This window comes from Homo sapiens, chromosome 3 (genome assembly GCF_000001405.40).
Source record: "Homo sapiens chromosome 3, GRCh38.p14 Primary Assembly".
NCBI lineage: Eukaryota > Metazoa > Chordata > Mammalia > Primates > Hominidae > Homo > Homo sapiens.
The window spans coordinates 116,875,381-116,889,899 of NC_000003.12; the positions used below are offsets into that span (position 1 = coordinate 116,875,381).

Genomic DNA, 14,519 nt, shown 5'->3' on the forward strand with positions numbered 1-14,519 from the left:
ATCTTTTCTCTGCTATGAAACTTCCCCTATTAGTCTGCTAGGGCTGTCATAACAAATACCACAGACTGGGTGACTTTAACAATTTAAGTTTATTTCTTACAGTTCAGGAAGCTAGAAGTCCCTGATCAAGGTGCCAGCTGATTCAGTTTCTGAGGAGGGTCCTCTTTGTGGCTTGTAGATGGCCACCTTTTTGCTATGCTTTCACATGGTCTTTCTTGGGCATGTGAATGCATAGAGAGATAAAGAGAGAAAGCTCTCTGGTGTCTCTTCTTATAGGACACTAATCCTATTAGATCAGGGCCCCACCCACATGAACTCATTCAACCTTAATTACTTTCTCTAAGACCCTATCTCCAAATATAACCACACTGGGGTTAGGTATTCAAGATATGAATATGGAAAAAACACAACCCTTCAGCCTATAATACTTCCTCTGTACACATTTATGGTATAAGGGACAGAGGCATCCTTCCCTATTTAAAACAATAACTAGATCTAGTTTGTAATATTATTTTGCCAATATTCTTTAATCTAAATTTTTCACTATTTCAAATTTTCAAATTTCACAAAACCAATGTGTTCTACTTTATAAATCTTGAAGGTTCAAGTCTATATCTACTACTTTAACTTCTTTCTAGTCTCTGGACTCATTTTGTGTCAGTGCTGCATTTAAGTTTGGAAAAGCAGACATAAAATTTAATTTGGTAATAGTTCAGATAGTTACTGAGATAGAGAAATTCAGGGATAAATGAACAGACCTAAAAATCAGCCACATAAACAAAATGCTGAGGTCTGGCAAAACTTAGTGCATTTACAGCAAGTCATTCATTCATGAAAGGCTCAGGTCCATATACCAAGAAATGAAGAGATATAAAACAATCTAATTTTTTAGGTATATCGTATTATCGTGATTATTAAATTTGCAAAATACTTTCAAAATCTATTGTCTTTATAATAAAATATAAATATTGGACATTTGTGTTAACCTAACTCCTTATTTAATTTCTAATATATGAAATAGTCAGCATAACTTGGAAAATATGTTATTTTCCAAGCTCAAGTTTCCTATGAGGGTCAAAAAGAACATTGGGCAATGTTGACACAAATTATTGTTTATATTTATCCACAGACTAAAATTATTGGTCAAATTTTTAACGGATACCTAAAGAAAAACCATATTTCTTATATATGACTATCTAAGGATGATGTCAGTGGTTTCCCAGGAATGATAGGTTTCTCAGATATTTGTTTAAAGTCTCATATTGGATTTCCACAGGTAATCTTGGCAAAAACACGAGGAGCCTGGGCATTGAATCTCACTTCAAAAAGTCAGTGGGAAATAACTTTCTTATGCTGAGTAGCATTGGAAGGCTTCATAAGACTCATTAATCTGGTCTGCTTCTAATGCTGTATTCATTGCCACTATTCCATTTTCAGCAGAAAAAAAAAAACAGTGCTCACAAAGTGCATCTTACAAGATGTATCAATGCCATAGAAAGTGCTATCAACTTTGATAAAATAAATCCACTTCCACAAATCCAACCAAAGGACCTACAGATTGTGATTCATATATAAAGATGCTAATTACTCCATTATCTATAATGATAAAAAATTAGAAGTCCATAAATATCCTACAGAAGGAAAATTGTTTAATTAGTCTATATCCATTTGTCTTAGCCCATTTGGGCAGCCAGAACAAAGTACTGTAGACTGGGTGGCTTATAAATAACAGAAATTATTTCTTACAGTTCTGGATGCTGGGAATCTGAGATCTGGGTACCAGCAATGGTCAGGTTCTGGTAAGGGCCCTCTTCCTTGGTTGCAAACTGCCATCTTCTCTTTCTATCCTCAAATGGCAGAAGCGTTGAAGGACCTCTGTAGGCCCTTTTTAAAGGCACTGATAACATTCATGAGAACTTCACAATTATGACCTAATTTCCTCCCAACTGCCCAACCTCCTAATATCATCACATTGGGAGCTGGGATTTCAACATGTAAATTTTGAGGGACATAAACATGCAGTCCATTGCACTATTCAATGGCAATTAAATCTATATTTAAAATAAAAATGGGGTGATTACAATTATATTTTATAAAGACAACAGAGGAGCAGATGTTCTCACTTTTTTATAAGAAGCATCTACTTTTCTTTCATTTTCTCTCATTTTATGATCTTTTCAACTATGGCTACGAGATTACACTGATGCAATTTACTGATACCATGAAACAACAGCTTCATATCTATTCCTATTTGCCATGTGATGATTGCATGCCTCATAAGGAAATGGATAGAAACATCCTTCCCTGTAGACTGTAAATAAGCATCAACATACTTCCAGTCTGTCCTTCTTCCAGTGCTCCTATTTTCCTCACAAATGCTGAGGTGGCACCTACACTTTTAGATTGTGATGTTTAAAAAAGGTTAAAACTGGCTGGGCGTGGTGGCTCATGCCTGTAATCCCAGCACTTTGGAAGGCCCAGGCAGGTGGATCACCTGAGGTTAGGAGGTCAAGATCAGCCTGGCCACATGGCAAAACCAAAACCCCGTCTCTACTAAAAATACAAAAAATTAGCTGGGCATGGTGGCGGGCACCTGTACTCCCAGCTAGTTGGGAGGCTGAGGCAGGAGAATCGCTTGAATCTGGGAGGCAGAAGTTGCAGTGAGCTGAGATTGCACCATTGCACTTCAGCCTGGGTGGCGGTACAAAACTCTTGTCTCAAAAAAGAAAAACTGGTTAAAAACCTTTGCTTAACTTAGGCTTCTTGTTCTCACGACTCTGAGATCAGAAAGTGCCTTCTTCAGATTAGGACTCATGGTTCACTACAACAAAAGCCAGGGTGTAGAAAGTGGTTAAGTACATGAAACCCAGGTTCAGATGGTGTGGTTTGGCTCTCAACTCTGTCATCTATTTACCAGGAAAGACATTTAACCTCTCTCTGCTCAGTTTCATATTCTGTAAACTGGGTTTACTTGATGATTAAATGAATATATATGTCACTTAGAGCAGTATCTGGCATATAACACTTAATAAGTGTTTACCATTATATCAGGGAACCTACCCCCAGTAGTCACGTAGGTTCTTTTCTATTTTCCCTAAGCGTCAGCTGGGTTGAGAAATAAAGGGACAGAGTACAAAAGAGAGAAATTTTGAAGCCGGGCGTCCTGGGGAGACATCACATGTTGGTAGGTTCCGTGATGACCCACAAGCTGCAAAACCAGCAAGTTTTTATTAGTGATTTTCAAAGCGGAGGGAGTGTACGAACAGGCTGTGGGTCACAGAGATCGTGTGCTTCACAAGGTAATAGAATATCACAAGGCAAATGGAGGCAGGGTGAGATCACAGGACCACAGGACTGGGGCAAAATTAAAATTGCTAATGAAGTTTCAGACACCATTGTCATTGATAACATCTTATCAAGAGACAGGGTTTGAGAGCAACTGGTCTGACCAAAATTTATTAGGCAGGAATTTCCTTGTCCTAATAAGCCCGGGAGCACTATGGGAGACTGGGGCTATTTCATCCCTACAGTTTTGACCATAGAAGACAGCCACACCCAAGGGGGCCATTTTAGAGGCCTACCCTCAGGGGTGCATTCTCTTTCTCAGGGATGTTCCTTGCTGAGAAAAAGAATTCAGCGATATTTCTCCCATTTGCTTTTGAAAGAAGAGAAATATGGCTCTGTTCCGCCTGGCTCACTGGCGGTCAGAGTTTAAGGTTTTCTCTCTTGTTCCCTGAACATTGCTGTTATCCTGTTCTTTTTTCAAGGTGCCCAGATTTCATATTTTTCAAACACACATGCTCTACAATTTGTGCAGTTAACGCAATCATCACAGGGTCCTGAGGCAACATACATCCTCCTTAGCTTATGAGATGACAGGATTAAGAGATTAAAGTAAAGACAGGCATAGGAAATCACAAGGGTATTGACTGGGGAAGTGATAAGTGTCCATGAAATCTTCACAATTTATGTTTAGAGACTGCAGTAAAGACAGGCATAAGAAATTATAAAAGTATTAATTTGGGGAACTAATAAATGCCCACGAAATCTTCACAATTTATGTTCTTCCACCATGGCTTCAGCCGGTCCCTCTGTTTGGGGTCCCTGACTTCTCACAACACCATTACTATTATTGTTATATGAAAGAGTGTCAGATCCTGTATTTACAGGTATTGAGTAATATTGTGGTAGTGTTTTGTGTATTGAGGATTAATATTTTATTGCACTTTTGATAAGAAAAACAATGATTAATGAGTCAAGGAATATGATTTCATGAGTAGAAGAGAATTTAGAAGATACTTAACACAACCACTATTTTTGAAAAGGTGTTCAGAGATTTCAACTTGAACAAGCTATACAGTCAGTTTTTAGCCATAACAATCAGGAATCCAGGCATCTCATGACTTCCTTCTTCCCCAAGGAGACACTAGACCCCCGTGATGGCAATACAGCCCCTGAAAAGGCTCTAAATTGCACTGAAGAGGAAGAGTAGGGAAACATTATGTGTTTTCCTAGTAGATGAGGCAAAACTGGGAAAAGATTCTTAGCCTATCACTCCAAAATTTGAGGTAAATGACACAATCTCCCTTTTAATTTAAAACTGTTGTCAGCTTCAACAAATAGAGCTGCTAGTCTAAGTGCAATGGACACCTGTTTCTCTTTGAGAAAATATTTTAAACATCAGATGTAAATTAAAATGTTTCACATATTTCAAATATGATGTAATTCATAAACTGTTTACATGTTGCAATAAAGTACAATCTTAGCTTTGCATTTTTGATTTGTTATTTAACAAACATCTCTGAGTAAATCTGGCTCAGAGGTATAGCTCTACTCTTATTCTCTATCCCTACCCTTGGCTTTAGGCTGGAATGAACTGAGTTTTCGCTTTGTGTCTGGTCATCAGAATTCTTTTCTAGCAGTGTATAGACAGTAATTCATACAATATGAGGGTCTGATGTTTTAGTGTGAAATCAAAATTCTAAAACTTAAATCATAAGGACACTGTGTGTTTGATTATTCTTAATGTTTGTGAAGCCCTGAAATCGTTTAGGGAATTTTATTATGCATTTCAAACTGCATGTTTAATATTTCCACCCATGAAATTGTAATAGAAAGTTTATTCCCAAACTTACAAATGAAACTCAAGAAGGTTCAGGGAAGGCGGCACTCTGGAGGATGGTATTTGAATTCAAATGACATTGTTAAATTGGAAAGGTAATCAGAAATCAACAAAATGAAACTTTCCAGGGACCAATGGAAGTCATTTTGAGTAAAAAAAGAAAAAAAAAAGTGGCACAACTGCAGATATGGGAATTCTACAGAAAAATGCCCTGTACTCCATTCAGCAGATCACAATATAAGTATAAAAAGAGCAAATACTAATTAGGCCTACTTTTTTCTACTTTTTATTTTATTTCATTCCTTAAATATACTATTAGAATGCAGGAATCATTGCCTATCAGGCTAACTTGGTTCTCTTTTTCTTTCACCTCTTTTCTTCCTTACCCTCCAGGTCCTCCTTCTTCTACCTTTGTTTTCTTCAACATTTTTAGGTCTTTATGTTGCCTATGGTGGTCACTTCATTGGCTCTGATTCTCGTAGCAAAAGTGATAAAGGATGAGAGTCACCTTGAAATACAGCTAGAAATCAACTGGGAGTAACTCTATCTCAAGTGTGAGAATTGTTACGGTTCTCAGATCCTCGAGTGGGTACAAGCTGAGCATATTTTAGCGTGGTTCTCTAGGTAGGTACTAACGTCCCTTTCTCCACAAGATTCACAGAGGCCCCAGGAATGTTCAAAAAGAGAGGTATATTAATCAGCTTCTGGTAATAAAGATACAGCCAGGTTTATCTGTGGCCCTGAAAAGACCCAGGGTTGCCTAGATAACAATACAAGAGATAAGAATTAAAATTATAGGCTAGGATAGAAGTATATTTCGCTTTACAAGAAACAGCCAAACAGTTCTCAAAAATGGTTGTGCCATTTTTCACTCTCCCAGCACATATAAGATTAAAGTTACTACACATCCTCAACATCATTTTATGTTGTCTTTTTTTTTCCTTAATCATAATTGTTCTAGTAGGTGTGAAATGGTGTCTCACAGCTTTTTCCATTTAGATTCTTCATTGGGTTTTCAACTTGTATTTTCAGGATGACTAATGATGTTAAGCACCCCTTCATATGTTTACTGGCTGGTCATATAACTTCCTTTGTAAATTGTCAGTTCAATACTTTTGCTCATTTTTAATTAGATTGTTTATCTGTTTATTATTGATTTTTAGAAGTTCTTTCTATATTCTTGATACAATTTAATTGTCAGATATGCATTTTGAATATGGCTTGCCTATTTATTTTCTTATGTCTTTTGACAAGCAGATGTTTTTAATTTCTACAATCTCCAATTTATTAGGTTTATTAGATTTTTATTTCCTAATGTGGTTAGTCTTTTAAGAGTTCAATCTAAGATATCTTCATCTTCCACAAGATAACAAATTTATTCTCTTGTATTTTCTTCATGAGCCTTATAGTTCTAGGTTTCATGTTTAAATGTGTGATCATTTTAATTTTAAAGTATGAAATAAGATAGAAATGAAAATCATTTTTCCCTATGTGTATATACAACTGTTCCAGAATCTTTTGTTAAAAACAATAAAAACAAATCTTTCTCCCATTTAAAAAAATGCAATGGCTTTGTCAAAAATTACTTGATGGGAGTCAATATTAATATGATGGTTCTTCCCATACTGGTACATTGATTCAACATAATCGCAGTCACAATTCTAGCAGGAATTTTTAGTAAAAATTGGCAAGTTGATTTTGAAATCTATATGGAAATGCAAGGGATCAAGAATAACCAAAGCAGTTTTAAAAAGGAAGAACAAAGATTTACTCTTCTTGATTCCAAGACTTACTAGAAAACCACAGTAATCAAAATAGTTTGGGTGTTTCATACAAGACAGAGATAGATCAAAAGAACATAGAAGAGAGTCCAGAAATAGGCAAAACATCTATAAATTGATTTCTGACAAAGATGTTAAAGTAGTTTAATAAGAAAAGGAAAGACTTTTCAACAGATGATTAAATATATGGAAAATGTGAACATCTACCCTTACCTTATACCATACACAAAAATTCATTTAAATTGGATTACAGTTCTCAGTGTAAAATTGAGAACTATAAAACTCCTAGGAGAAACTCCTAGGATTGTGTGGTAAGCAAATTTCCTTAAAATACAATATTATGAGTCATGTAAGAAAAAAACTGATAAATTAGACTTCTTCAAAATTAAAAGCTACTGCTCTCCAAAGACACCATTAAGTTAATAAGGCAAACACAGACTGCTAGAATATATTCACAATACATATATCAAAGAACTTGTATGCAGAATATATAATTTTTAGAATTTAATTATAAGAAGGCAAACAACCCAATAAGAAGTTGGATAAAATATTTAATAATATATAAATGACCAATATGCACATAAAATTAGCCATCGGGGAAATGAAAATTTAAAACAAGAATATACAACTGTATGCCTATTAGGATGACTACAATTAAAAACAACCACCACCATCCAAACTCCTGGTCATTCTAAGTATTGGCAGAGGTGTGAACCAACAGCAACTCTCATATGATTTTAATAAGACTGCTGCAACCATTTTGGAAAAAAATTTGGAAATTTTTGATAAAAGTTTGTTAGTGTCATAAAAACTTCAAAATGTGCCTACCTTATAACCCTAGTCATTTTACAACTAGGTATTTACCGAACAGATAAGAAATTGAATGTCCATACAAATGCTTTTTTATAAATATTCATTGCAGCTTTATTCATAATAGCCAAAAACTGGAAAAATAACCCACATATATTTATCAACAGGCAAATAGATAAGCAAATGGTGGTTCACCATACAATGGAACACTACTCATAAATAAAAAGAAATGACTTACTAAAACACATAACGACATGGACCATTCTCAAATTCATTATGCTAAGTGAAAGAGGCAAGGCAAATTTGTAATTCCATTTATATAAAACTCTAGAAATTGCAAACTAATTCATACTGTCAGGAAGCATAACAGTGGTTCTTAGGGATGAGGTGTTGAGGTATAACTGGATTAAGATTGTTACAGAATTCTTTTGGGAAGTAATGGATATGTTTATCTTGATTGTAGTTACGGTTTCAAACTGATCAAATTATATACTTTAAGTATGTGAATTTTAGTATAATTTAGTTATACCTTAATAAAGGTGAAAGATCGATTCTCTGTAGGTCTAGAAGCTTCATTCTTAAGGATGTACCCAAGAAAAATTAAAACATATGTCCATGTAATACATTTGTAAAAGAATGTTCATAGCAACCTTCCTCATTACGGTCAAGAGCCAGAAGTAATCTAAATATCCATCAACTGGAGAATTTATAAACAAATTGTGGTATGTTCATAAAATGGAATAATATTCAGCAATAGGAAAGAATGAGCTGCTGATACACACGGCAACACGGATGACTCTGCAATATGTTGTGTTAAGCAAAAGTAACCAGATATCTACCTCCCACTGCTAAAAAATAAAAAATAAAACCCATACTGTATGATTTAATTCATATAAAGTCCAAAAAGAGGAAAAGCTAATCTATGAAGATACAAATCATAAATCTGAAAGTTATTACCTCTTGGAGAAGAGTGGAATTGACTAAAAAGCACCAGAAAACTCTCTGTGGTGATGTAAATGCTCTATATCATGTTTCAGATGAAAGCTACATGTGTACCTGTAACTCTTAACATTTGTCAAGCTGCACACTTTAGAACTGTGAACTTTATTACATATAAGGAAAGAAGAAAGCCAACCCAAACAAAGGCTTCTCTGTAGAGCCTTTTTGGGTCCTCAGCCAGAGGCAGCATCTAAAATAGACAGACAGAAAGACAAAGAGATAAATAGACCACTATTCTGTCTATACTGCACAGTTCAACTGGCTTTTTTAAATTCCATAAATGAGAGTTTAAAATAGTTCAGTGCAATTCAGGGTAGCCAAATAGTTGATTGGGACTATTTTTATGAAAGAATTCTAGGTGGAAAATGGAATAATGTAATTTAAAATTACTATTTTATAACCCCTAACGAAATAATATTTATAGGCAATACTTTATCAGTGGATACTAAGATCACTAGGTAAAATATATATATTTTTCGAGTCTGTGGGGCTTGCGTTTTATTTCTTCATGACAAAATGCGGCTTCCTGCTTCTAAGAAAAGAAGCACAGAGAGGCTCATAAAGGCAGCCTCCAAAGGCTTCTTGGAACTCAGATTGCTCCTTCAAAACATGGGCTGATGAGTTCAACGTAAATGCATTGGAGGCACGTGGGATCCATTTACCTTAAAATACACTTGGGCCTACAAATTAAAGGAAAAACAGACCAGGACAAAGTGTGTACTGCAAGGCCAAGCCCAAAACATTTGGGAAACAGTTCTAGAGACTTCCAGAACCCCAAAAGCTACTTGCTTCACCCACCCCTTGGGAATCATCAAATGTTATTTTTTGCACAAGATTGAGGATGAGCCTGCTCTCTGATCCCAGTGCTGTGCTCCGCTGTGCAGTATTTTTTTCTTCTAAATAAAAAATAGGATACACGTGCAGAATGTGCCAGTTTGTTATGTAGGTAGACGTGTGCCATGGTGGTTTGCTGCACCTATTGACCCATCCTCTAAGTTCCCTCCTCTCACCCCGACCCCGCAACAGGCCCTGGTATGTGCTGTTCCCCGCTCTGTGTCCATGTGTTCTCAATGTTCAGCTCCCACTTATGAGTGAGAACATTCAGTGATTACTAGGTAGAATGTTAATGGGAAAGTTTGTAACAGATGAGGCCAGGCTGACAGCGCCTGAATCCATCCATCAATCTTAGCATCAGTAAAAGTCGGATGAGCAGATATTTGGTGCCTGTCTTCGAACATGTGTTGTAGATGTAACAACTATTGGCTATAAAATATTCTTGAAAAAAATATTGATTCTGAATCTAATCAAGCTCCAACTAGGAGAAATCTGTCGACTAAAGGAACAATTTAAACAACAGCAAAAAGAAACAATCAGACAAATCCAGAATATGGGATGTTTCACAAGACAAATGGCCCAATTTCACAACAAATATAAAGGTTAGAGGAGGAAGGCCATAATATAATGAGACTAAAGAGAGATTACAACCAAATTCAATGTTGGTTGGTTTTTCAGATCCTGATCTGAACAAATCAACTACAAAAAGTCAGACCTAAAATAATTAGGGAATTTGAATGAAGTGTGGGTATTAAATGATATGAAAAAATGTCTAATTTTGTAATATGTTAAAATGACTTTGTAGTAATATTTTTTAAAGTATGCCCTATCTGTTAATGACCTATACTAAAGTATTTATGGGTGAAATAATGTGATAACTGGGATTTGCTTTACAATATTCCAAAGAAATTGGAGGAGTGAGGGTTAGGTGAAAAAACATAGGAAAAACTTTGACAATTGTCAAAGTTGGTGATGGGTACGTAAAAGTTCATTACACCATTTTTAATAGTATTATGTATGTTTTAAAATTTTCATAATTGAAGCCTTAACTGACTACTAAAATTCCACATTTGATTTTTCTTTGTTGTCCTAATTTTTAAGTTAGCATTTAATTATATTTATGAATCTTAACTCCATCTCCTTTTCTGATGTTGTGAAATGCATTTATTTTCACCTCTTACAACATTTTATGACGACTAAGCCTGTGTTAGAACATATTTACGTCTTCAGAGACATACTAATGTCCTCAGAGTCCACTTTCTCATTCTTAAAACCCTCTTCATTGGCCTTCATTATTTCATTTACTCTGAAAGAAAAAGCACGAAATACATGCAAAACTCAGTCTTCTGTCTGAATACTTCTTGTTTGCAAAGCCAGAGTATGTTCACATGTTTGCCTGCTATGGGCTGCTGACCACTGCTTAGTGTCAGTGGCCTAATGAGGACCCAGCACACCCAGGAAGTCAAATGAAACAATGTGCTGGAATAAATTCTCAAACTCAAATCATATTTGAGCTTCTCTTCCTCTTTCAGTACTACAGGAAATAACTTTTTAAATGACAGAGGTAAAATGCACTACTTTTATTTTGTGCATCAAATCCTGGTACAAATACATTATTCTCCACTTGCTGTCTGTACTTCAGACACAATAAATATATCGCTGTTTCCTGAACCTCCCAAACTCATTCTCACATTAGGACTTTTGCACTGGTCTCTTCACATACCTTCAGGCTCAGCTCAAATACCATCTCCTGTGAGAGACCTTTCTGACCACCCGAACTAAAATAACTCTCGTCTCTCCACCACTTTCTTTCACAGTTAGCCTATTTGTCATTTTCTAAGCACTTTTATTTTCACTTCCTTTTAATCTATATTTATATGTACCACCATCCTCAACTAGAATACAAGTGCAGTAAATTCAGAGATCTTGTCTAATTTATTGTTATATCCACAGTGATTCAAATAACAATTGATATAGATTAGGAATTCAATAGATATTTATGGCTTGAATAATTTTTTATGTTGATAGAAATGTATTATGTTATGACTTCATATTATAATTCAATAGCAACACCACTACAAATGATACTATTACCAGATTATTTTTCAAAACATTCTGTATTGACATACATGACTGAAATTTGAGATGACAGTGTGATAGAGACAATCAGGATTCCAAAATTGAGCAAGAATGGTAATATACATATAATATTAATAATACTAATATACTATATTCCTATGTGAATTATTAACACTCTTTGGATCAACACCTTATTGTTATAATATACACAGGAGCTCTAAGAGGAAGAAGCTGAACAAAGGTATTAAATAATTTCAACAAAACCATTTAGCATTTCTATGACAACATTCAAGCCTCCTAACCAAAACTCAATTGCTCATTAATTAATTCAATAAATATTTGCTGAGAATTTATTTTGTGTCAAACATAATGCTGAGCACTCTTATGAGCAGGTCAGACAAGAACCCTACCTTTGTAAGATATTTTTAAAGTCATATTCTGCTTCTATCTACCTCTAAATTTACAGATGAAAAAAACACCAATGCTTGTGAAGTTTTTCTACACAAAAACATCCTATAGCTACTCAGGATAATAGCCTAAGGCATCCAAGCTGTATCTTTTCAAGCCAACCATTAGATGCTAATATTAGCAATGGCACTATTGATCAGTCACATGCAATTTTCTACACAATGGACATTTACTTACAACTTCTGAATTAAATAATTGTGTAAAAATATGATATCCTATTTCTGCTTCATTTGCTTCCCTTCTTGATCTTTCTTTAGAGAAACAGTTTTCAAATATGTGGCTTAAATTCTCTTGGAGGTGAAAAATAATAATTTTATTTCTTCTTTTAAAACAAATTTTAGGTTAAAAAATATATAGTTTCAAGTTGTAAATGTGCATGCTAAGAAGAGAAGTAGGCCAATTCTCCCAGAAGCTCGTATGTGTCCTGGTTCTAGTGACCAACTCAGCTGTGATTTGACATTCCAGGGAATTGGGATATATTTTTCACCAGAGAAATCCCAGACTGCCGGACAAAACCTAAAGCGTTTGCCCTTTTCAGCCTTACTTCTTTCATTATTTAAAACGAAAAGAGAAAAAGAAAAATGAGAGAGCAAGCAGAACTATATAAAAATTTGCTTATCAGACTCCGTCTTCAGCAGTATCTTAAACCTTTTTGAAATGTGAGCACAGAATTGTTACCTTTGGGGTGAGATTGGGCCAAATTGAAAGGCCAACTCATATTTCAGAGAGTTATGGGCCTCTGGTAGAAGACTGGAACCCCAAACCCTAGATATATATATATGCATATGCGTGTATGTGTGTACGTGTGTATATGTTACTGCTGTTGGTGGGAGAAGAGTACATTTTAACAGTTCTATAGCTTATTCTGTTCCTAAGGGAAAAAAAAACAACAAATTATACTCCTCCTGAAAAAAACTATGATACAACAAAATTAGTAATATGAAACTTTAAGAAATAAAAAATCTCACATATTACATCTGGCAGATTTTGTGATTCTGGGAAGATACAATAATGCTAAGTAGACTAAATCCAGTTGAAATGCCACCTCTCTCTCTCTTTTCTCTCTCTCTCACACATACACATATAATATAAAATATAATATACATTATATATACAGTCACGCATCACTTAAGGACAGAAATATGTTCTAAGAAATGTTTCATTAGGCAATTTCACGAGGTGAACATCGCAGAGTGTACGTCACAAACCTAGATGCTATAGCCTACTACACACCTAGGCTGTAAACCTAGACAGCATGTTACTGTACTGATATTGGAGGCCATTGTAACACAATGTTAAGTATTTGTGTATCAAAACATAGCTAAACATAGAAAGGTACCGTAAAAAGATGGTATTATAATCTTATGGACCATTGTCATATATTTGTTCTGTCATTGACTGAAATGTTGCTGTGTAGAGGATGATGGTATTATATATTTTGTATGTTACATATTATGTATTATATGTAATATATAGACTTAATATTTGTATTCTATAATTATATTTATTTACATATAATATTTTATTTGTTATAGATCTAGAGATAGAGAGACATAGAAATTGAGATAGAGATATGAGAGTAAAACAAACATTTGAAGTACTATCTGGTGAATTATCTGAATTTTCTTTTCCTTGACAGTGAGACTAAACATCAGTTGTTACCTGGAATATTTATATTTATTTAGATGCATCATGGGAAGAGGCAAAAAATCAATATATTAAAAATTACAATAATAATATTTTAAAAATATACTAAACCATATTTACTAAAATATTGAGTTCTAGTTTATTGCCCAAATGGAAAGAAAGGTAATTAGTTCTTCTTTTAGTGGTGGAGATCATTTTTCCATTAAGCATCCTCTGTACCAAGTGACTTGGAGGAATGTACATAACCGATCAACCAGACACACAGCACCTCTTTTTGAACAATAATGGCAATACTCAATCCTGTAGTTTAACTTGCTTTTTCTTTTGTTGAATACTCTGCTGCAAATTCATGAGGCCTATCTAGCCTTGAAGTAAGAATTGCTATTTTCTCACACAGCTTACCATCAAAACATCCAGAAGAAAGAGGAGAAGAATGAAGAATGAAGAGAAGTGGGTCGGGGAAAGAGGAAGAGGAGGAAAAAAGAAAAAAAGCTGAAGAAGATGAAGAAGAGAGCATTGTACAAAAATTATTTGTAAAAATTGTCTGCTCTCACTAAATTGAAATCTTTATTCTCTTTTCCTTCCGTTCCTAATTCCTTGCACTTCCCCGTCATTTTACCTGAGATTGTGTCATTTACTACTCAGGTAACATTCAATTTTTCATCTCTGCCTGTCAAATAATCTTGTCTCTCAGATATCTGAATCTGAGCAAATCACTCCCATAGTCTCACCCTATGCTCTCTCAATATCTGCATCCACTCTCACTGAACGTCGACACT

At 34.9% G+C, this 14,519-nt stretch overlaps 1 annotated feature.

Moving 5' to 3' along the window:
* Positions 10,872–10,941: a silencer, noted in NCBI's record as "silent region_14622". NCBI's record gives its function as "represses an Ori minimal core promoter by ATAC-STARR-seq in GM12878 lymphoblastoid cells {active_cell/tissue: GM12878}" and the evidence as "EXISTENCE:reporter gene assay evidence [ECO:0000049][PMID:35858748]".